At 34.0% G+C, this 26461-nt stretch overlaps 1 long non-coding RNA gene across 3 annotated transcripts in view, besides 1 other annotated feature; it reads left to right on the forward strand.

Moving 5' to 3' along the window:
* The window catches only part of LINC01965 (long intergenic non-protein coding RNA 1965), a 205982-nt gene extending 179944 nt beyond the window's left edge, over positions 1 to 26038 (forward strand). For 2 of the 3 annotated variants that reach the window (XR_001739621.2, XR_001739622.2), the window contains exon 3: positions 23233 to 26038. This is a non-coding gene — a long non-coding RNA (long intergenic non-protein coding RNA 1965). Of the gene's footprint in view, positions 1 to 17938; positions 18047 to 23232 lie in introns of those variants that run through there. The other variant, XR_007088674.1, reaches the window with a different exon arrangement.
* Positions 16000 to 17948: an enhancer, noted in NCBI's record as "VISTA enhancer hs1554". NCBI's record gives its function as "enhancer in: branchial arch[5/13]" and the evidence as "EXISTENCE:transgenic organism evidence [ECO:0001131][PMID:17130149]".
* Positions 26039 to 26461: the final 423 nt, after the last annotated feature.

A 26461-nucleotide genomic window follows, 5' to 3' on the forward strand; every position in this document is an offset into this window, starting at 1 on the left:
TTGTAATGCCATCCAATCTTTTGAATGGAGTGCATGTATGTGTGTGTGTATGTAGTTTGATTATGATAAAAGTTGTTAATATGTGACTATGCTATGTGCAAGTGTGACAAAAACTCAAAATCAGAAAAAAATTAATTAGAACAGATCAAGTTCATATAAAACTGCTATCCTTCTGGCCGCTGGAGTTAAACTGAAACATTTTCCTGTACTTGCCATATCTCCACATTCATTTCTCCTTACCAAAAGAAGAAGTAGAGAATGTCTCTCCTCGTAAAAGTCGTATATAAATTTTAGCTAACAACCATTCAGTGTTGGCAATTTCAACTTATAAAAGAATCCATTACCCCAAGAGCCATTTACACTGGGAATGTGAATAAGAAGAATCTTGACACACACACAGGCAGGCACACACACACACACACACACACACACACTTATTGATTACCTACTATGGGTCATTTAATCCAGCTAGTTGATGTTATCTGCTTCTTAACAACCACAAACTCAGCAACTGTAGTTATTTTCTACAACATTCAATTAGGGGTTTAGTAATCATAAATATCAACAAAATAGAGATTTTAATTAAATTTAGTAAGGCAGAAATTATACAGGTATAATTATACTCTTTTCTACCACTGAGCTATGCAGAGGTATAATCACTAAGTGGAGAAATTAAAGTAGCATTCTAATAGAACTTGGAAGTTCTATGAGATGAATTCCTATATATTTAGATACTATCCCCTGAAACTTCTGCTTCTGTACCTCTCCATCATCCTTTAACTTTATGACAATGATATTGGCTAAAAAGAACACCTGACTGTCCTCATGTAAGGAGAAATCTTTAATGTAGGACATTGAGGTTTCAATTTTATGTTCAATATTTATCATTTATGCTCTACATCTATAAAGTGAGGGAGACAGATACAGAGAGGGAGAGACAGGCATACACACACACATGCACACACACAAGCACACACATATATACACATCCACACATGGTTAAAATAAATATTAAATGTTATCCCAAGACAATAAGTAGAAAAATATTGTAATGAAATTCACAAATAGTTTCACACATGGAAAAGAGTTTGAAATTTTAGGAGGCATATTGTTACCTCTTTAAGTGACAATAACGGATAAATAGTTTAGGAATCTCAATGAAGAAGTATTTTCCTCTTAACCTTTATTAAACATTCCCATGTATATGTATGTATGGCCAGTAAAGGAAGTTACAAAGTAACAATATTAAATATTATCATTCTTTGTGTATTTAGCTAAAATATATCTGTCTGGAGGGAAATATATTATTTTAAATAATAAATTTATCTGATGCATCTTTAAAATAAATTATATTTATGCATTGACATTGAATAAAGTCTCTGAAATCTCACAAAGTGAATATTGACGGTTCTATGTTGGTATTATTCAACTATGTCTGGAGCATATACACATTTTGTGCTTTTGTAAAACGTAATTAATTAGTCAATAAAATAAAATGAACTTCTCAAGAGAAATGCCTTTCTATTGTTCAAAACAGATATTGAAACATGAGAAATGAAAAGAAAAAAAGAGAAAAAGTGGAAGCTTCTTATAGTTAAAAAAAAAAGTATAGTGTTACAAGTGAGATTACCTGCATAAAAGCAGGTTTCTAAAAGTCATGCCCACTTCATAAAAAGGGCAAATAAAATATCCACTGCACCAAACCATAGTAGAAGAAAATAAGATTTCATGTTTTCAAAGCTCTGGTGTAGAAAAATTTTCTATGAGAAATAGAAACATTAAATCTGTGCCACACTCAGGTGTTGAAGCTAGAATTTATTTATTTATTTTTCTTACTGTAGACAACACAAATTTGTTACCTTACAGTCCTGATTTGAGATTTTTAAAATTTGGGAATCTCAAGATACATATCCCAAAAGCTCTAGCAGAAGAAAAGACAAAACCATCTATAGAATAAATCCATAATACAGGGCATCTAGTAAAGCTACAGAAAAAAATAATGCTGCTAAAAATGAGCTCAATGATTTCAAGGAACCACCACATAAGGAAATGTGCCAGCATGGAGAGAACCAGCAGATACAACAAATAGGAGAACTGTTATTCTCACATACCCAAATCGATACAATAACCTAAAAATGAATGCAAAATAATTGTGTTTAAAGTAATTAGTGAAAATTTGGAATGAAAATCACATTAACAGAATAGCAGGTTATGGGGAAGAAAGTAGAATTCTGAAAGAACCATGTCTTAGTCAATTTTCTGCTGCTATAATAGAATACCAGAGACTAGGTAATTTGTAAAGAAAGCAGAGATTTATTTCTTACAGTTCTGGAGGTGGAGAAGTCCAAAGTCAAGGGGATTGCATTTGATGAGTGACTTCTTGCTGCATGATCTCATGGCAGAAGCGGGAGGGGCAAGAGAGCACATGTGAGAAAGAGGAGAAGGGAGCTGAACTCAGGAACACATTCCTGCAATAACTAACCTAACCTGTAATAATAGCATTAACCCATTCATGAGGGCTCTGGCCTCATGAAATCACCTCTCAAAAGGCCTACCTCTCAACACTATTGCATTGCAAATTAAGTTTCCAACATATGAACTTTGGGGGATACATTCAAACCATAGCAAAACCACAAATAATTCCAATTTTATACTACCTGAACTCAAGTAATAAAAAAAATACATATTTATTTTTATGAAATGCCCCATTATATTTGTGTTTATAGAAAGATGAATTAATTAATTCATTATTTCTATATAATTGTTGAAGTTTAGTAAATGACAATGTATAAATAGCATTAGGTAATAACTGAGAACAACAAGTAATGACAGAAAAAAGAAATGATCATGAAATGTTAAACTTGACTGTGGAAACATTGACACTTTCCTAGAGGTCTTTGAAAATAAAAAAGGAATAAGTAAAGTGTTTCTAGACTTGTCAAAAATAGGAACCCTTGTGGTGTGGTGTCAGCAAAATGGCAGACTAAGAAGTTCCAAGCTCTTATTCCTCAAACATAAACACAAAAAATAAAGTAAAATAAAACATAAACAGTGTGAACCAACTTTGTAGAAGCTCTGGAAAATGATCAAAGTTTTACAGCAACTAAGTACATACTCAATCAAGAAAAAGCCATCTTCAAAACGGTAAAAATGTTTAGTGATGGTTTTATTCTGCATCCCCAAGACCCTTCATAGTAGATGATGGCGTGCTTTTCAGCAGTGACAGATTAGTTACCAATTCCCCACTTCAAAGTGGAGGAAGCAGAGCAGACTTTACTTGAAAATTATTGTGTATGTTCATCCTAACTGGACTAGAGAAGCACTTGAAGAACTGACTTGCTCATCTCTGTCTTGTATAGTTCAGAGTACAGGTAGGAAAAGCAACAGGAAAGTCTCATAAAAACCACAAGAGGACAAAAATCCCACAGACATCTGGAACTAGAGATCCTAGGTGGAGACATACAATATACCAGCTAAGGCCCAGAGGGGAAACATATTGAGACTCTTTGGGAAATTAGGGCATTCAAAAAGAATTCTGTATACAAGGGGATTTAGAACATTACTAGCATGCCCCAGAAAGACACATGCTCAAAATTCCTTAAAAACCATTAATCTTTCACCCTGGCTGAATCCCAGACTCATGGAAGGCCTAGAAAATCATGAAGAAGTACATTAGCACAGAGGCAGTCTATAAAATCTGAGAAAGGTGACTGTCCATTTGTTTGTTTGCTTGCTTGGGGTTTTGTTTGTTTTTGTCTGTTTCAGATCCTGAAATTCAAGAAAATATTTGTCAAAGTATTAGCTGAGTGCAAGCTAAGGTATCAAAATAGTGAATACACACACCAAGGAATAATCTTTGCAAAAATACTTTGTCTCAAGACAAATAGAACACAGCAGACTTTAATAATCAAAACAGAAACACCAACATAGAGAACCTAAGGAACGAAGAGAATCTGATTTCCAAAGTCACCACATTATAAAAATCAAATGCCAATCTTCAACAACAACGAAAACAACAAAATTCACAAGACACATAAAGAAACAGGAAAATGGCTCATTCAAAGGAATAAAGTGATTAATTGGCATAAACTGTCCCTGAGAAAGCCCAGATACTAAAGTGACTTGACATTTGCTCAACTAGATAAGAGTGAGTTTCGACAAAGAAGTAAAGGAAATTTGGAACATAATATTTTATCTAAAGGAGAATATCATCAAACAAAGAAATTATATAAAAGAACCACACAAAAATTCTGGAGCTGAAAAGTACAGCAACTGAAGTTTTTAAAATTACTTGCAGAGATCAACAACGGATTTGCAGATTAGTGAACTCGAAGATAGGAAAATTGAAATTATTGAGTCTGAGGAGCAGAAGAGAAAAAGGAATGAATAAAAGTGAATAGAACCTAAGGAAACTGAGGGACACCATCAAGCAGATCAAGGAGAAGAGAGAGGTAAAAAAGAGTGGTAAGATAAATAATAGCCAAATACCTTCCAAATATGAAGAAAGACATGAATATACAGATAAAATAAGCCCAGCAATACCAAATTGGATAAACCCAAAAACATCTACACCAAAGCACATTATAATCAAATTGTTGAAAGCCAAACAATGACAGAATCTTAAAAGCAATAACAGCAAGGCAATTCAACAAAATAAAAGGGATGTTCAATACAAGTATCAGCCAATTTCTCATCAGAAGCCTGGAGGCAAGAAGGCAGAGAAATAATATATTTAAAGTGCTGAAAAAAGCCAGGCACGGTGACTCATGCCTGTAATCCCTGCACTTTGGGAGTCTGAGATGGGTGAATCACTTGAGTCAGGAGTTTGAGACCAGCCTGGCAACCATGGCAAAACTCTGTCTCTACTAAAGATAGAAAAATTAGTCGGGTGCAGTGGCATGCACCTGTAGTCCCAGCTACTTGGGAGGCTGAGGCAGGAGAATCACTTGAATCTGGGAGGCAGAGGTTGCAGTGAGCTGAGATCATACCACTGCACTCCAGCCTGGGCAACAGAGTGAGACTCCATCTCAAAAATAAAATAAAATAAAATAAAATAAAATAAAATAAAATAAAATAAAATAGGGCTGAAAAAAAAACCGATCAATGAAGATTTTTATATTTGGCAAAGTTGTTCTTTAAAAACAAGGGAGAAGTTGCAAATAGTGTAATTTATTTACTGTTCATCTGTGTTCCCAGATAAAAAATAATAATTTTCTTGTTTATCTGTATTTTCAGATAAACAAAAGCTAAGGGAATTCACTACCACTAGAACTGCTCTGTAAGAAATTCTAAAGGGAATCCTTTACAATGAAATAAAAAGACAATATGCAGTAACTTGAAGCCATATGAAAATACAATGTTCTCCTGTAAAGATAAATAAATGGGCAGATATAAGCCACAGTACCGTAATTTTAGTCTATAAGTCCACTTTTTATTTTCTACAGAATTTAAAATACAAAAGCATAAAAAGAAGTTTAAAGCTGTATTATATTATTAGTCACTCAATGTATAAATATGTAATTTGATATGCTTATGATAAATTGTAACATATTTATTATTAATAACATGAGGATGTAACTTTATAAGAGTATATTATGCAATTGAGGTCAAGTTATAATTAATTCAAATTACTTATAACCTTAAGATATTATATGCAATCCCCATGATAATCACAAAGAAAACATCTATGGAATGTAAACAATAGGAAAGCATAGGGGAATCAGACATGTCACTACAAAAATCCAATAAACGCACATAAAAACTCTAATGGAGAAAATGAGAGACAAAGAAGCTATGAGATGTATAGAAAGCAAATAGCAAATGGCAGAATTTCCTTCATATCAATATGTATTTTTAATGTAAATGGATTAAGCTCTCCAATCAAAAGTCATAGAGGCAGAACAGAAAAAAAACATGATTCAACTCTATGCTATTTTTAAGAGACTCACTTTATATTTCAAACACAATTTGAAGGTAAAGAATACAAAAAGATATTCCAGGCAAGTAGTAACTAAAGGCAAACTAGATATTATATTAATATTAGTCAAAATAGACTTTAACTCAAAAACTGTTACAAAAGGCAAAGAAAGGCATTATATGTTAATAACAATTCAATTCACCAAGAGCATTTAACTATTATAAACACATATGCATAAAATATCAGAGCCCCAATATATATGATAGAACAATGACAGATTTGAAGAGAGAAATAGACACTTATACAATAATAGTTAGAGACTTCAATACTCCCAACTTCAATATTGGGTAGAGCAATAAAACAGAAGATCAATAAGGATTTAGAGGACTTTAAACAACACTGTAGACCAATTGGATCTAAGAGACACACACAGATCATTCCATCCTATAACAGCAGAATACACATTTTTCTCAAAGGCACATGGAACATTGTCCAGTATAGTTTGGACACAACCAAGACTTAAAATTTTAAAAAGATTAAAATCATACAAAGTACCTTGTCTGATTACAATGGAATGAAGCTAGAACACAACTAAGTCTTAAAATTTTAAAAAGATTGAAATTACACCAAGTACCTTGTGTGGTAACAATGGAATAAAGCTAGAAATTAATAAAAAGAGAAAACTAGAAAACTCAAAAATACGTGGAAATTAAGCAAAACACCTTTAAACAACCAATTCATTAAAGCAGGACAAGAAAAATTAGAAAATATTTTGAGACCAATAAAAACACATGTGGAACCTCATGAGATGCAGCAAAAGCAGTGATAAGGGGGAAATTTATATCTGTAAATGCATACATTTAAAAAGAAAAATGTATTAAATCATTAGCAATATTTTAAATATTAAGAAGCTAGAAAAAATTAATAGAATGAAGTGAGGGAAAACAGTCAATAATGACAATTGGTACAAAAAAAGGAGAGAGAACAGCTAACGAAAATCAACATTCTTTCTTGATAAAAAGCACCCAATAAACTAAGGATAAAAGATAAATTCATCAACAAATTTATATGAAAAGCTTACAGATAACATCCAATATTTAAAAATAATCAACTTTTTCTCTAAACTCAGAAATAAGCAATGATGCCTGCTTTGGTCTCTTCTATTCAACGTATTACTGGAAGTTTTTTCTTTTAATATATTTTATGTGTATAATTTTTTTGTTGTACTTTAAGTTGTAGGGTACATGTGCACAACGTGCAGGTTTGTTACATATGTATCCATGTGCTATGTTGGTGTGCTGCACCCATTAACTCGTCATTTACATTAGGTATATCTCCTAATGCTGTCCCTCCCCCCTCCCCCCACCCATGACAGGCCCTGGTGTGTGATGTTCCCCATCCTGTGTCCAAGTGTTCTCATTGTTCAATTCCCACCTACTGGAAGTCCTAATCAGAGCAATAGGCAAGGGAAAGAAAGAAAATGCATCTAAATTGGAAGGGAAGAATGAAAATGATCTCTGTTCACAAATGACATAATCTTAAATGTAGATAAGCATAAAGATTTCAGAAAAACTGTTGGAATTTAATAAACAAATACAGCAAAGTTGCAGGATAGGAAATCAACATGCAAATATTAGTTGCATTTTTTTCTTAATCACTTAATAAATCATTTATTTGTAAATCAACACATGTGCTATACAGAACCTAAGAATTTAGACAATTTTAATAACCCATAAGCATGTTGATTCCTTTTGCAGATTTAAATTTTGTATAAATAGCAGTCATTGCATTCATATAACTTAAGTGTACTTTGTTTATAATCTCATTTATGCTACCGATACGCCTCAGAAAAAAACAGATTCTACTTGGTTCTAGCTGAAGTATTATGAACTCCAAATAATGCTTTGAGGACCTCCAAAGGAAAAAAACAAACAGATTCTACTTGGTTCTAGCTGAAGTATTATCAACTCCAAATCACGCTTTGAGGACTTCCAAAGGAAAAAAACAAATTCTACTTAGTTCTAGCTGAAGTATTTTCAACTCCAAATAATACTTTGAGGACATCCAAAGGTAAAGTACTAATCCCTTTGGCCATTTATTGGGAGAGAGAGACAGACAGAAAGAGAGAGAGAGTTTTGAAGCAACAATGTAACAATGTACCATTAGTAAAACTGCTGTGCAAAATTATCCCTCAGTCCTATTCTAAGCTTACAGTTCAGTTGATTTTGTTGTCCTCACCTAAGTATATACAATTCACACACAGGAAAAAAACACTAAATCAAAATGGTTATTTTCACTATTTTGCTTAAGATTCATATTTAAATATAAATCAAGAAGTTAACCTACCCAGTTTAAGAGACACTTTTTACATTACAAATGTTTTTTAAAATGTTAAACTGATACATTATTGTAAATATTTATGGTGTATGTACTGTTTCATGTAAAATGTGTATCAGTCAAATCAGTGTAATTAGCACACCCATCAACTCAAACATTTATCATTTATTTGTAGCAAGAACATTCAATACATTATTAACTATAGTCACCCTACTGTGCAATAGGACATCTGAACTTATTCCTCCTAATTTAACTTTGTACCCATTAAAAGTGGTTTTGTGTGCAAATAATAGACAGATGTTCAACATGCAAATATTAGTTGCATTTTTTACGCACTAACAATGAACAGTGTAAAAAGGAAATTAAGAAATAAATTATATTTATAAGAGTATCAAAAAGAAAATAGACAGGTATAAACCTAAACAAGTAGATAAAAGACTCATACACTGAAAACTACAAAACATTGCCAAAAGATTAGATAAATGAAAAGACATCTTGTTCATGGATTAGAATACATAATCTTACCAAGATGACCTCACTACCCAAAGCAATTTACAGATTCAATGCAATAGCTATCAAAAATACCAAGGATTTTCTTTTTGCAGGAATAGAAAAATTCATCCTAATGTTTATATGAAATCTCAAGCACCTTCAAGAGCCAAAGTCATCTTGAAAAATAAGAACAAAGATGGAGGAATTACACTTCCCAATTTCAAAAGGCACTGCAAAGACCTAACAGTGTGGTGCTGGCTTAAGGACAGACATATAGGCCAATGCAATAGATATAGAGCCTCCGAATAAACCTTTACATATAAAGTCAATTGATTTTTAGCAAGGGTGCCAAGACCATTTAATGAAGGAAAGGACATTCCTTTCAACAAAGTGAACTTAAGAAAACTGGATATTCACAGGCAAAAGAATCATGTAAAACTTGTACCACATGCCACTTACAAAAACTTACTCAAAATGGATCAAAGACCTAAACTTAGAAGGTAAAATTCCAAAACTCTTACAAAAAATAGCTTGTATGACATTGGATTTGGCAGAGATTGCTTGCATATGATATCAAAAGCAGAGGCAATAAAAGAAATAGTAAGTAAATTGGACTTCATCAAAATGTAAAATGTTGTACATCAAAGGATGCTATCAAGTGAAAATATTTGTAAGTCATATACCTGATAAGTGATTAATATCCAGAATGCATAAATAACTTCTAAAACTTAACAAGAAAAACAAACAATGGTTAAAGGACTTGAATAAACATGTCTCCAAGGAAGATACACAAATGGGCAACACGCAGTTGAAAAAATGCTCAGCATCACTCATCATTAGCAAAAGGCAAATCATAAACACAATGAGGTACAACTTCACACGCATTACAGTGCCTCTTATTGAAAGAAAACAAAAGTGTTAGGAAAATGTTAGAGAGAAATTGCATCCCTTGTGCAACGCTGGTAGTAATGTGAAATAGTGCAGTCTTTGTGGAAAATAGCATGGCAATTCCTCAAAAAGTGAAACCTAGAAGTACCATACGATCCAGCAATTCCACTTCTAGGTAGACACTCGAAAGGACTGAAAGCAAGGACTCAAAGAGAAAATTATACACTGATGTTCATAGCAGCATTATTCAAAATAGCTGAAATGTGGAAACAACCCAAATGTCTGTCAATCATCAACAGATGAGTGGATATAAGAAATATGCTATAAACATACAATGGAATATTATTCAGTCTTAAAAATAAATGAAATTCCTCTGAGACATACTACACCGTGGATAAACCATGAATGCATGATGCTAAGTGAAAGAAAGTAGACACAAAGGAAAAATGTAGTATGATTTCACTTATATGAGGTACCTAGAAAAGGCAATTTAATAAAAGCAGAAAATAGAATAGAGGTTACCAGGGTCTGGGGGTAGGGAGTAAAGTGGGGGTGATATTTAGTGGGTACCAAGCTTCTGTTTTAGATGATAAAAATGTTCTGGAAATGGATAGTGGTGGTAACTGCACGACATTATGAATGTCACTGAGGTGTACATTTAAAAATCACTTACAGATGTTTTATGTTATGTATATTTTACCACAATTAAAAAAAACTAAAAAAAGAAACTCCCTTTCTACTCCTCACCAATATATTACTAAATCACAAAAGGAGCCTGTTTTCTGACAGTGTTCAAAATTCTCCTAGCATTAATAATTATAATCCAGCATTTCACTGAGCCAGAAGCAGCCTTAACAACTGGTTAAAAAAAAAAGTAGTCACCTGTATGCAGTGATTTTAAGTGCATACAAATGGCTCTAGATATTAGAGAAAAAGCAATTTTTATTAAGCATTTGATATTTAGTTATTTTAACATTTGGAAATAATGATTCAGCCCATGATCATCAAAATAAATGCAGAAAAAGGATTTGACAAAATCCAACACACATCCATGATTAAAAATGCTCAACAGACTAATGAAAGGAAATGTCCTCAACTTGCTAAAAGGCAGCTGCATAAAACCTACAGCTAGCCTTATACTTAATGCTGAAAGATTGAATGCATCCCCTGAAAGATGGGAAAAAAAAGCAAGGATTTCTGTTCTCACCTCTCCTACTTAACATTTTAATTGAGCTTGTAGCCAGTATATAATGGCAAATAATAATAATAGAAATTAAAAACATGCACATTTGAAAGTATGAAGTACAATTGTCTTTATTCACAGATGATGTCCTCATATACATAGAAAGTCTTAAGGAAGCCACAATAAAACTACTAAACCAAATCGAAGAGGTCAGCATGTTTACCTATATAAGATCTATATACAAAGGTAATTGTATTTTCAAATACAAGTAACAATCCAAAAATGAAATTAATTATATTCACAAAATTATCAAAAAAGAATGAAATGCTTAGGAATAAATTTAACAAAAAGTGCAAAATGTATAACATGACAACTACAAAACATTGCTATGACATATCCAAAGAAGATTTAACTAAATGGAGAGACCTTCCATATGTTTGAATTGAAAAATTAATCCTTTTATGATGTCAATTCTCCCCTAAATTGATTTATAAATTTAACACACACCCTATCAAAATCTCAGTAGGTTGGGGTTTTTGTTGTTGTTGTTTGCAAAAATGGACAAGCTGATTCTAAAATTTATAAAAAATTACAAAACACCTAGAACAGCCAGAATAACTTTGAAAAAGAATAAAGTTGAAGGACTTAGACTTCTATAATTCAAAATTACTATAAGTCCACACTAAGCAAGATAGAATGCTGCCAGTGTGAGGATAAACATATAGATCAGTGGTACAGAATTGAGAATCCTGAAATAAACACATTTGTGGTCAAATAATTTGAAAAAAGGTGTCAAGGCAATTCAGTGAGGAAAAAAATAGCCTTTCATATAAACAATACAGGGACAACTGAATGTCCACATGTCAAAAGACTGATGTAGACCTGTATGTCCCATCGTACAACAACTCAAAAATGTCTCAGAGACCTCATATAAAAGTCAAACTCATAAAACATCCACAAGAAAATATATGAGAAAATATTTGTTAACTTTAAGGAGACACCAAAAGTGCAACTCATAACAACAAAAAAAGATAAATTGAAATTCATCCTAATTAACAATTTTAAGCTTTGAAAGATATCATGAAAAAGTTAAAAGACAAGACATAAAGTGGAAGAAAATACTTGCAAATCATATATAGGATAAATGACTAGTTACGAGACTTTATCTAGAACTGTTACAATTCAATAATAAAAAAACAATCGAACAACCCAATTTAAAAATGGGTAAAATATTTGGATAGACATTTCACCAAAGAAGATATATGAATGGCTAATAATCACATGAAAAGGTGCAAACATTATTAGTAATTACGAAAATGAAAATTTCCTGGCTAACACAGTGAAACCCTGTCCCTACTAAAAGTACAAAAAATTAGCCAGGCGTGGTGACAGGCACCTTTAGTCCCAGCTACTCGGGAGGCTGAGGCAGGAGAATGGCATGAACCTGGGAGGCAGAGCTTGCAGTGAGCCGAGATCGTGCCACTGCACTCCAGCCTGGGCGACAGAGTGAAACTCTGTCTCCAAAAAAAAAGAAAGAAAATGAAAATTAAAACAACAATGAGATGCTACTTCACACCCACCAGAAGGGTTTTTCTTTTCTTTTCTTTTATCTTATCTTTTCTTTTCTCTTTTCTTTTCTTTTCTTTTTTTTTTCTTTTCTTCTTCTCTTCTCTTTTCCTTTTTTCTCTTTTGGAAAAAGACAATACCAACTGTTGACCAAGATATGGAAAACTAAGAACCCTCATAAGTTGCTGGGGAAAATGTACTGCCACTTTGAAAAAGTTTGGCAGTTATTTAAAAAGTTAACATAAACTTATCAAATAACCCACCAATTTCATTCTGAGGAATATAAGAGGAAAGGAAACAAACACCCACACAAAGGCTTGCATAGGAATGTTTATATTTATAGCAGCATTCTTCATAGCAGCCCCAAACTGGAAGCAATACATATTTTCCTCAACTGTTCAACAGACCAAATGAAAGGTAGCCATATAAAAATTCAATACCATTCAGTAATAAAACGGACAAGTTATTGGTAGATGCTAGGTTGTGAATGAACTTCAAAATGTCATGCTAAGTGAACAGAGTCAGATGCAAAAGAGTCAGATGCAAAAGACCATATTTTGTATGATCCCATTTGTAGGAAAAGCTCAATAAAGGCTAAAATATAAATACAGAAAGTAGATTAAGGACTGCAATGTTCTAAAACTAGACTGTTGATTGCACAACTCTATAAATTTACTCAAAATTGAAATACACATACACACATGCAACTAGAACTCTCTATATAGCTGCTTATTAAAATTTATTTTCCCTTAGTCCATGTGCAGTGGCTCACACCTGTAATCTCAACACTTTGGGGAGCTCAAACAGGAGGATCACTTGAGCTTAGGAGTTTGAGACCAGGCTGGTTGTGTTAGTCCATTTCATACTGTGGTAAAGAACTGCTAAAGACTGAATAATTTATAAAAGAAAGAGGTTTAATTGACCCAAAGTTCAGCATGGCTGGGGAGGCTTCAGGATACTTACAATCACGGAGGAAACAAGGCACTTTCCTCACAAGGCTGCAGGACAGAGAAGTGCTGAGCAAAGGGGGAAGAGCTACTTACAAAACCATCAGATTTTGCGAGACTCACTCACTATCACGAGAACAGCATGGGGGAACTCACCCCTATAATTTAATTACCTCCACCTGGTCTCTCCTTTGACACAAGGGGATTCTGGGGATTACAATTCAAGATGATATTTGGGTGGGGATACAAAGCCTAACCATATCACTGAGCAACATAGCAAGACCCTGTCTGTACAAAAAAATACAAAAATTAGAGGGCTGTGGTGGTATGTGCCTGTAGTTCCAGCTACTTGGGAAGCTGAGGCAGGAGGATCACTTGATCTTGGGAGGTCAAGGCTGCAGTGAGCTGTGATGATGTCACTACACTCTAGCCTGGGAAACAGAATGAGACCCTGTCTCAAAAAAACAAACTTCCCAATTCCTCTACCACTACAAAAAATATTTTCTTATTACTTTTTTTTTTTTTTGAGACAGAATCTCGCTCTGTCGCCCAGGCTAGAGTACAGTAGCCCAATCTTGGCTCACTGCAAGCTCCGCCTCCCAGATTCACGCCATTCTCCTGCCTCAGCCTCTCGAGTAGCTGGGAACAAAAAATATTTTCATGTGTTACTATGGAGTTTGCGCTTATTGTGTTTGCTTTCTCTTGGTTAATCATGAATATATATTTCAATATCACATGATTTTATGATGCTGCTCAAACCAATAACTTTACTACAATAATGTAAGTAAAATAAGAAGGGAACAGCAAAAAATCATAAGAATTTCATGGAAGGGAGCACATCCCCATGCTGCTCAGGAAAGCATTAAGGGACAAAAAAAAAAAAAAAAAAGATAGAGTCCTCACTGTTTTAGATGGATAGTAAATATTCTAGGTATTGTAGATATTTATAAGAAAAAGCACAGGAAAAAATATGTTCAGTGTATATTCAGGAAACAGCCATTACTACAATTCCCAATGAGTAGGGCTTGGAAAGAATAGTTGCCATCATTGGACAAAGGAACAGAGAGCTTGAACTCCAACTGGTGGAAAAGCACCATACACTTTAGGAGAATCTCCTGAATGAATGAAAGGATCTCATTACGAATCAAAGTTGCCTTATTTATTAAGTGTATTGGTCTGTTTTCACACTGCTGATAAAGACATACCCAAGACTGAGTAATGGAGGTTTCATGGACTTACAGTTCCACATGGCTGAGGAGGCCTCATAATCAGGGCAGAAGGCCAGGAGGAGCAAGTCACATCTTACATGGATGGCAGCAGGCAAAGAGAGAGCTTGTGCAGGGAAACCCCACCTTATAAAACCAGCAGATCTTGTCAGACTTATTCTCTATCATGAGAACAACACGGAAAAGACCCACCCCCATGATTCAATTACCTCCCACTGGATCCTTCCCATAACACATGGGAATCATGGGAGCTACAATTCAAGATGAGATTTGGGTGGGGGCACAGACAAACCATATTAGTAAGGAATGTACATCCCATTTGAAGAGATATTATTATTTCAAGTGTTCCTGAAGCTCTGTTTTCTAATGAGTACATTTTAAATTCTGTTGTGAGTCCTCATTTTACTTTCATAGAAGTTATTAAATTATTGTTATGGCATGTATTTGGAAACTGACACAAAGCAATATTTTTATATATAGTCATCATCTTCACATGTGATAAAAAATTTATATAGAATTAATTTCAACTTGGTTGTTGATAAAAGTAAAGTCACAGAATTCTTTAAAATATATCATTAAATATGGGGATATTAGAAAAAGAGATGCTCAGGAGCCATATACTCCTGTGTTTTTGTGATCATTTTAGAGAAAAGTCTTTGTCTTCTACACTTGCTTTTAAAAAGAGACCAAAAGAAATATAGTATAAAAGAAAAAAGTATAATATAAATGGAGTATAAAATATCCATGAAGTATACTTTTCTTTCCAAAATTGAATGTTATTTTATAAGTTTTAATGAAATAAAAAATTCCATTATTGCCTTTCCTATGTCTTTGTGAGAACTGCAAAATATCACTAAACAAGACCTTTTCCCAATTTACTGAATGATTTGAGATGTAAGATTTTTAATTGTCTGCTAAATGCCACCAAAAATATATATTTCCTACTATCTATTCAAGGCATCTTTTTATTCAACACCTGTGATAATGATAATTTTTTAGAACTTCTAATCAGTGGAAAATTTCAGTGTAAATTCCAATGTATTAAAGACTTAAAAAGCAAGAAAAGATGTTATTGTAATTGTTATTATATTTATTTTATATTAGATATAAGTATTGATTCCAGATTATTTCTAATATCATATGTATCCTTAAATATACATTATTATTACCAGTGTTGACTCCTTCATTGATATATTTGCAACTCTTTCTAAGCAAAATTCTATGACTTCTCACAATATGTTTTCTCTCATGTAGACAGCTCCAAACAATGTATTTTATCATTTGACGTCACTAAAATTATTAGAAGACCCAATAATAGACCTGTTTTATTAATATATGTTGAAGACACTTATGGAGTTAGGAACATTTTCTAAAAAGCACACAAGGAGATAGCCAAATGAGCTACATTTTGTAAAAAGTAATTCTCCTAGTCTAGATAAGATAGTGAGACTAGCCATTAGTTTATTCAGTAAACTTATTCTACTTTTAGTATGTAGTATGTAGGGGTGAGTTTAATAATAAAGCTATGCTTTTTCATTTAAAAAATTTTAACTTTTTTTAACTTGTGATTCTTGATAGTTTTCTTTATGACAAAATTTAGTCCATATCCAGCTTAATACAAAAAATAAAAAACAAAACAAATACTTATGATCTCAAAATCAAGAAAGAATAATTGTGGGCAGGACTCACTTAGAAGTCTTCTTTCTTGAGCTAACTTTACTATCTCCTGCTGTAATTTCTAGAAAATTTTCCTAACTCTGTGTTTCCAACATATATTAATAAAGCAGGTCTATCATCAGGTCTTCTAATAATTTTATTGAATTAAAGAGAAAAATATTGAGTGAGTTGCCTTTAGAGTTTTTATTAATGGCTAAAATATGCATTTGTCTGCAATGTCTGCCTAAAAAGTTAGTTACCAAGATCTAGTGAATCTTAAAATCAGTTTGCTTCATTTACATACAGAAGTAATATTAGTTGACAGTGTCAGTATATCTGTGGGAAACACCAGATACATTCAAAACATAAAATACAAAATAAAGAGCAAACACAAAGTTTATATTTAATTAAAGCAAAATAGATAATCTAATAGTAAATTTTGCAACAGAGAATAATCTGAATTTATTCAGTCCCTTTGGAAGATTTTTAGATTTTTTCCAACAGGATCTGCTCACACACAAAAATTCAATGCAGTTTATTAACAGTTAGCATATCATCTCTAAATGAAGCTCATTGCAATCTAAAATGGACCCTGTAAGGAGCTAATGAGCAAGATCCTGCCTGATATCGACAATTAATCAGACATAAAAGCATTTAGGATCAGGACCCGTTGACAAGCATGTACACTCATACAGACTTCAATGAAAGATGGTATGTGAACATATTTGTCTAATTGTACATTGGGTTTTCGAACAAATTCCCACCAAAACACTTAATTATCTGCAGAGGTGATGCTTCCATTTCAGAATCTGTAGGAAGCTTTTTGGTTGCTGTAACCATATATAATGGATTAAATGAAGTTTAATAAGCTTTGTTTCCAATTTTCCCATTTTAATTGCTATAGCAACCTGAAGCCAAAGTTGGATCACTGGATAGAGTAACTGAGCAATTAAAAGCAACCATCTTTGTCCTCTGATAGAATTATCCTTGGCCCTTAAGGAAAAAAAAAAAAAAAAAAACAACAAGTATTTAAAATAAATGAAAATTTGGAACATGACAAAAATATCTTTTTACATTGAAAATGGGAAATTATACATTAGTTAGCATTTATATTTCTCCTTTTAAAGTTTATAGTTGAAAATATTCAAAATGAATATTTTATATCAACTTTAAACATAAGAAATGAGTTATAACTAATATGAATGAGTGTATCTCATAACTAATAAATTACTTACATCTGATTTCACCCTGACATATGAAAAAGAGGAAACAAAAACACATACCTGTTGTATCGTTCTTTGCTTTTAAAAATAAAATATCTTGATTTATTTTTGAAGTAATTTTGTTATATTTAAGGGACCTTTGAGTTTAATTTCTCTAACAGGTCAAATTGTAGATTAATCTCTCCTCTGCTCCCTTTCCAATATGTGATTTTTTTCCATCTTCACATAGTTTATTTAAAATTTGTAATTTCTGAAACAATAAAAGGAAAACACAAAATTTGTTTTTTAAGTGTTGTAGTTAAATATAGCCTTTGCATACTATTGAAGATAAAATAGCTCCAGGTGTTTCTGAGTGAGATCTTTAGTTATAGATACATTCATTGCTTTAGAATACAATATCATACTAATAGTTTATGCTGATTTGATCTTTCTTAGTTTAGAAGCTTGCTTTTCTCTTTCAAAGGGAAATCAACAAAGAGTATTGCTTTCTTGCAAATTGGCAGGAAGGTTTCCAGCATAATGAAAGAGTGCAGAAAAAACAAGTTAATTCAAGGATAAAACTGTGAATAAGTAGAAGAGAAGACTACACCAGGAAAAGAGACGGAGATAGAGGCCCAATAGAGTAAGTAATTTTAGAAGAAATTTAATACTGGAAGAATAGATGTTTTCCAGAATAAAGAGAAACATAAGCTAAAATGGATAATTTCCTTAACGCTATGCCATATAGAAATGCAAATTTACATACAAATAAATTAACAGTTATTTACTGTATAAATATTATTCTGATAATATTATTTCTTTATAGATTTAGCTCCTATATTTTACTTAAAATGAGAGCACAATTGTTAAATACAGTTTATACACTAAGTCTTTGAGACAGAAATATGTGGCTTGTAAGAGAATGACCTGATTCAAATGCCAAATTAAACCAATAATTTTAACTAAACGCATACTCTGGTCATCTATCTTCATGTAATCTCTCCAAATCTATCAATAAAATATCAATGCAAATATAAACAAAAAGAAAACAGCAACAAAAACTAGTATTTATAGCCAACTTATTGCAAAATTTGGGAGGTACAAAACTTTCAGAGTTGAAAGGAGAATTACATATACATTTTGCTTAAGATAATACAAATACAGTAGTTTGACAAGGATGTAGAGATATTTTATTTATTGCTTATAGATTGGATGATGGCTCATAATCTGTAATAGGCACTGAGAAAACAAAGCAGATGCAATAAAACAGCTGAGGGTTGCCACCTCTCTTCCAATTTCTTCCTCCCATAATCAACTTCTCTTCAAATGTAATCAGAAATGACAACTTCATCGCTCAGAAAACCACAGGTCAGATACAGAAAAGTAATGCTTGGATAAATTATATCATGGGAGATATAAAGCTCAGCTACAAAGTCCAGAAATACAACAGACAGAAACAGAAAGAGCCATGGGGAAACTTGATGCTGAAATTGGGGTTTTTAGCATTGACTGTTACTTCTGTGGGGGTTGGAGTTGATGCCACTTGGATTAGCAGAGCTTCTTCATTAATGCTTGCTAACCCTTAAAATCAGTGTGCAAATATCAATTAGTCCTTTAGCTGGGCAAAGACAGTTCAACATACTGATAGGCAGACAACTAGGCTAAGGGTAAGCCCTAGCCCCTGTTTATAGGAAATCACTCAGCCTGGAAACAATCAAGCTGAAGTTGAAAACTACAAAAACTAGAGTCAGAGAAACATGATGACCCAAAAATATCAGTGTAATTGAAGTGAATAATCTTCAATTGAGTCTTTACCCTGAAGACTCAAGTGAAGATTAAATCTCTCACTGTATTTAAATATCACAAAAGAATACAATGTTAGAATAAAAAAAACACTAATTTCTCAAGTAATTCAATAAAATAAAATAACATATTAAGTCTGTGAAACAGAATAAGTTTAACAAGAAGGAACAGATTAAAATTAAAATGGAATTGGGTAAGAGGATGTATAAAAGGAAATTATCTGTCTATGAAGGGCAATTTGGTAATGTTTCTCAAAAATACAAACAAAAAAAAAAGAGGAAAAACACAAAGATTCTGAATGCTAACAATTATGATTTTTAGGAATGTATCCTATATATCTTCACTCCTGTGAAAGAGACTTACATACAAAGACTATTTGAAAGAATTGTTTGTACTGTCAAAAGATTGAACACAAAGTAGATCTCAAAAGAAACACTAAATTATGCAAATCCATTTAATGCAATATCCTGTAACTATTAAAACTGAGGGACAATTAAAGAAGATTGAAAGATATTGAGGGATATATACATATTAAAACAAGGATTGATTTCTAAGATAGATAATTTTGTAAAACAAATCAAGTTGCCAAAAATGTATAATAAAGTATATTTCTGGCCGGGCATGGTGGCTCATGCCTGTAATCCCAGTACTTTGGGAGGCTGAGACGGGTGGATCACCAGGTCAGGAGATTGAGACCACCCTGGTCCACACAGGGAAATCCCGTCTCTACTAAAAATACAAAAAATTAGCAGGGCGTGGTGGTAGTGGGTGCCTGTATTCCCAGCTACTCAGGAGGCTGAGGCAGGAGAATGGCATGAACTTGGGAGGCAGAGTTTGCAGTGAGCCAAGATTGTGCCACTGCACTCCAGCCTGGGTGACAGAGTGAGACTCCATCTCAATCAATCAATCAATCAATCAATCAATAAATAAATAAAGTATATTCCTGTAAATACTTACAAATGTACAGGAATATAAGAGCTAAATTAAATCCACCTGAAAATCAATGAACTCATAGAATTTTGTGAGACTTTTGAATTAGTTATGTGAAGGACAGGAATCATTTGCTCTCTCAGAATGAAGAAAAAATTGGCAATGAGATGAAAATTATAAAAGAATATTGACATGGAAGAGTGTGAAAAAAGGAGTCAACCTAAAACGATTTCATATTCTTAAGATCCCAACCTAAAAGGATTTTGTATTCTTAAGAAAGAAAAAAGTATAGAATCAATAACATAATGAAAGAATAATTTCTTGAGCTAAAGAAACAGGCAACATTGTGAACCTACAGGATCCATACTTTGAAATGTAGGAAGAAAAAACAGAGTATTTTAGTTTCCTAGGTAGATAAGAAATACTTACCAACACAGGAGAAAATATGTTTTCGAACTTTACTTCTGAAACATTATTTTTTAAATCAATATCAAAATATAAATATAAAATAATTGCCATGATTTTGAAATTATGTTTTGCCTAAATATTATTCACATTGGATATTAATTTTGGACATACATAAGTAACAGTAGGATAATCCGAGAAAAAAAATATATACACACACATCTCTGACAAAAAAATCATAGAATGTTTAAAAACAAAAACATCAATCAGTCCAATTAAAAAGGAGCAAAGCTGGCAATATTATTTCATACAAAGTAAATTTTAGACAAAAAATGACTGAACTCTTTATAGATACAAAAATTTTACTAATATTATAACTATTAATATTTGTGTACTAAATTAGTATAACACTATTAGAAAAATAAGGGTAAACGTAAGGTAAGAAACATGCAATTGCTTTGAGAAATTCTACCTCCATCTTTGTCTTTCTTTGATAAGGCAATAAATCAAAGCAAAATACTTGAAAAATGTAATCCCTAAGACTAGATTTATAGATATGCATAAACATCTCAACAACAGAAAATATCCTTTTCCCTAAGTTTCCATGAAAATTTAGCCTTCCCAAAACATAATTACCTTCACTCCCATATAGTATGAAACATACTCTGTGATAAAAATCTAATGAGTTAGAAAATGATAATTAATATTTTAAGCAATAACAAGAAAGCATTTTAACATTTAGAAATTAAATATTTATGGAGTCAAAGACGAAATTTAAGAATGTTAAAGAAATATAATGTAAGAATGTAAGAAAGGTAACGTTACAGAAGACAGTAGATCCAAAATGGAGTCACTCCATTCCACCAAAATGAAACCTAAGTTTTTGACCTTTCAAAAAATCAGGCAACAAATGACAGCAAAATTATGTTACTCCAACAATATTTTGCTTTCATCCCTGTTAAAAAATTAACCTCAAAATGATCAATTTGCTATTTTTTTCTTCTTTCTTCTTTTCTCCACATTTTTGTACATGTGAAACTCATTCATTCTGTTTAGTTTATTGAAGCTCCTTTATATTTTCCTTTAATGAATTGTTAATAAAAAGCCAATTAGATCTTGGAAACTCAATTTGTGGAAATGTTTTTTACAGTGATAATCATAAATTGTTAAAGAAAGAACAAAATAATATTACAACATGTGAAATTTATGGGAAACCTCCCAAATGAAACAGTATTCTTTGCTTTAGATATTTATTATAAAAAAAAATAAAAATAATTCAGAGTCAAATCTCAAAGCATATTACAAAGTACTGGCATTTTATACAATAAGGTGTTATTTGCTTTACTTTTCTGTTTACGTTTTTAATAGATTTTATATATTTTTAATTAATAAACTTTATTTTTTTAGAGCAGTTTTAGGCTCACGGAAAAAGTACATGGAAAGTAAAGAGAATTCCCATATATTTCCATTCCTAAACATGCACATCCTCCCCCAGTAATAACATCCCATGCCACAGTAGCACATTTGTTATAATCGATGGACTTACATTGGCACATTATGAACCAACTCATAACTTACATGAACATTCACTCATGGTGTTCTACAAATGTACAATAACAAGTGTCATCCATCCTAGTATCATTCAGAAGAGTTTTGCTGCCCCCAAATTGCTCTCTGCTCTACCTGTTTACCCCTCCATTCCACCTAACCCCAGGCAACCACTGATCTTTCACTGCCTCCATTCTTTTGCTTTTCCAGAATGTCATATAGTTAGAATCATATAGTACATAGCCTTTTTAGATGTGCTTCTTTCACTTAATAATATGTGTTTGAAATGTTCTCAACACAGAGAAATGATAAATGTTTGAGATTATGAATATCCTAAATACCCTGATGTGATCATTATATAAGCATGTATCAAAATATCACTTGCCCCATAAATATACACAATTAATATGTATCAATAAAAATAATTTTTTTTTTGAGACAGAGTCTTGTACTGTCATCCGGGCTGGAGTACAGTGGCATGATCTCGTCTCACTGTAACCTCCACCTCCCGGGTTCAAGCAATTCCCCTGCCTCAACCTCCAGAGTAGCTGGGATTACAGGCGCCCGCCATCACACCTGGCTAATTTTTGTGTTTTTTAGTACAGACAGGGTTTCATCATGTTGGCCAGCTGGTCTTGAACTCCTGACCTCGTGATCCACCCGCCTTGACCTCCCAAAGTGCTGGGATTACAGGCGTGAGCCACCGTGCCTGGCCATAAATTTAATTTTTTAAAAAGATCATGTTAACTAAATTCATGTGTGTCTATTTCTCAGTTCTCTATTCTGTTCCATTAATGTATTTGTCTATTTTTTTGCCAATACCACGTGGCTTGAATATTGTAGTTTTATAGTAATTATTCAAAATAGCATCAGTCAGTCTTCTGACTGTTCTTCTTCTTCAATATTGAATTGTCTATTTTGCATGCTTCACCTCTTCATATAAACTATAGATTCATTTTGTTGATTTCCACAATATAGCTAGATATAATTTAATGAGAATTTGTTTGAGATTGCATTAAATCTATAGATCAAGTTGGGAAGAACCAACGTCTGACTGGCAATTATGCATCTTTCTATCAATAAACACAAAATAGCTCTTCATTTGTATATTTCTTCTTCGATATTGTTACAGGATCAGTGGAGTGTTGCTGTTCTGGCCATAAACCTCTGTGGACAGTGGCTCCTTTGCCAGGGTTTTGCTTGGGCCTACTGGGCTAGTTCTGCTCACTCAGCCTGCCAGGCTGTGCTCAGCACACACTACATGCCTGGATCCCATGTCTGCCAAGGGCTAGTCAGGGGTGGAGCAGTGAGGGGTGTGTGAGTGAACATGAAGTCTGGCCACTGCAGCTGGGTGGGCAGCTCCAGGTGCCGGCATGGGCACCAGCTCTCTGTGATGCTGTGGCTGAACCAGATGCACTGCAAGCAGCTTCCACAGCTGGCACTGGAGGACGTGGTGACGCCCAGAAGCTTGGAGATGCCAGGAACCACAGGGCCCCAAAGAGGAAGTGACAGCCCTGGCTAGAGGAGCTCCCAGATCTAGGCTCCCTGAAGGCCCACAGCTCTTCTCTCCTCTTTGTCCGCAATGTGGTGAGCATGGGACATGTTTCAGCCCTGTTTGTTTTACAGCTGTTTTAGCCCTGCCATCCAACAGGTCCCAAGTTCTTGTCCTGCGACCAGGAAGAATGAGATACACAAAGAAGTGGAGGGTGAGCAAGATGAGGAATGGGTGTTCAGCTCTGAGCTGAAAGGAGACCCTGGAGTGGGAAGCTCCTCTCTACAGGCAGGTCATTCCATTGTCTCTGCAGCTCTCAGCAGAGAGGAGGCCTTGGTATGGGTAGTACCTCTCTGCAGCTTGTCGTCCTGATATCCGCTCAGCTCTGGCTGAGCCCAGGGCTTTTATGGGCCTCAGAGGGGAGAAAGTGCATGCCAATTCGTCCATGGGTGGCCATGGGCAGGCCCAGAAAAGGGACCACAATTTTCCACTCTAGTGTACAGGACTGGCAGCCTAGTTTCCAGCCTTCAGACCCTCCCTGGCCTGAAGGTGGGGCCTCACCGGGGACCTGCCCCCTTATGCCCAGGAACCTATCTACCTCCTGCTGCTATTCATGGCGCCCAGACTATCGGTGCCAAGGTGCAGCTGCAGGCCAGCACCGAGCTGCCCTCAGTGCCCCCTCAGCTTCCCTCCCATGCTTGTCAGTGCCCAAAGTCCAGAGGGGGCTGAGGGGGCAGTGGGTTGGTGTGTCCAAACATGTGCACAGTCAGCGGGGCTATGACAGCACCTGGGCTTGGCTCTGACTTTGCTCCAAGATCAAAACAGGTGCTGACAGCAGGGAGAAGCCAGCAAGCAAGAGCAGGCACTTCCAAGCCTGCAAGGTCAGGGGAGGCCTTCCCAGGCCCCCAAGAGAGCAGAGATGCAGTGATGCCTGGGTCTGCAGCTGCAGTTTCGGTGGCTGCAGCTGTGCCCAGGGGAGCACAGTTCCTGCCTGCTCTGTGGTGCTGGAGGCCTGGGTCCACAGCCGCAACTTGGGCTGCTGAAGCTGTGCCTATGAGAGCTGGGCGCCACCCCTGCTCCCGGGCCCTGAGAGCACAGAGATGCCTGGGTCCACAGCCATCGCTTGGGAGGTTGCAGTGGAACTGGGAGAGCTCCCACTTCAACTCAGAAGGAGCAGGGCTCCCACTTGTCCCCAGCTCCTGCTGGCTCCATGGAGTGTGCAGCCCCAGACATGCCTCCCTGCTGCAGTCCACATGATGGCAGCAGCTTCTCCAGACAGCTGCCACTGCCATCAATATCTTTTATCAGTTTTTTAGTTTTCCTCATAAATATATGAGGGTAATGTATGTATTTTGTTAGGTTTGTACCTAAGTATTTCATTTTGGGAAATGTTAATGTAAATAATATTGTCTTTTAAAATTCAAAATTTCTTCTGTTCATTGCTGGTATGAAAGAAAGCAATTGATTTTTCTGTATTAACTTTGTGTCCTGCAACCTTGCTGTAATCAATTATTAATTTCAGAGGTTTCTTTGGCTGATTCTTTTGTATTTTCTACGTAAAAACATTGTGTCATCTGTAAACAGAGATAATTTTTTCTTCCCAAATAATATACAATTTATTTCTTTTATTGTCTTATAGCATTAGATGTGACATGAAAGTGGTGAGAGGTGATATCCTTTAACTTGTTATTGATCTTTGCTTCCAGTTTCTCACCATTAAGTATGATGTTTGTTGTAGAACATTTGTGTAAGTGTTCTTTATACAATTGAGGAAGTTCCCCTCTATTCCTAGTCTATTGAGAGTTTTTATCATGACTGGGTGTTGGATTTTCTCAAATGCTTTTTCTGCACCTATAAATAGGATCATGTGATTTTTCTTTTTTAATTTTTTGAAGTCATGCATTACATTAATTGATATTCAAAGATTGAACCAGTCTTGCATGCCTGGAATTAATTCCTCTTGGTCATAGTGTGTAATTTTTTGTATACATTGTGGGATTCAATTTGCTAATATTTTGTTGAGATTTTTACACCAATTTTCATGAGAGATACTCTGTAGTTTTCTTAAACTGCCTTTGTTTGATTTTGGTATTAGGGTAATGCTGGCCTCATAGAATAAGTTAGAAAATATTACTTCTGTTTCTGGCTTCTGAGGAAGACTATACAGAATTGGTATAATGTATTTCTTACATGTTTGCTAGAATTCACAGGTAAATACCTCTGGACCTGGCGCTTTCAGTTTTGGACAGTTAATTATTGATTAAATTGCTTTCATAGGTATCAGCCTATTTAGATTATTTATTTTTGTGTAAAATTTTCTATCAGGAAATTAGTTCATTTCATCTAGATTATGAAATCTGTTGGCATAAAATTGTTCATAACATTTCTTTACTATCCTATTAATGTCCATGGGATTTGGAATGGTATCTACTCTTTCTTTTCAATATTAATAATTTTTATTTTCTTCATTTTTTTCTTAGTTTCCAAGACTAGAGACTAATAATTTTTATGAGTCTTTTCAAAAAACCAGTCTCTTCTTTCTCTACTGATTTCCTGTTTGCAATTTTATTATTTTCTGCTTTAATTTTTGTTATTTCTTTTTTTCTGCTTACTTTGGATTTAATTTTCTCTTTTTTTTTTCTAGTTTCCATGGGTGGAAGTGGAGATTATTAATTGTATATCATTCTTCTTTTCTAATATATATATCCAAAGCCATAAATTTCCCTCTAAGCATTGCTTTAGCTATATTCCACAAATTTTAATAAGTTGGGTTTTTGTTTTCATTAGTTCAAATATTTTAAAATTTATCTGAGATTTATTGTTTGACCCATGTGTTATTTAGAAGTATGTTGTTTTATCTTCAAGTATT

Source organism: Homo sapiens, chromosome 2, assembly GCF_000001405.40.
Source record: "Homo sapiens chromosome 2, GRCh38.p14 Primary Assembly".
Lineage (NCBI taxonomy): Eukaryota > Metazoa > Chordata > Mammalia > Primates > Hominidae > Homo > Homo sapiens.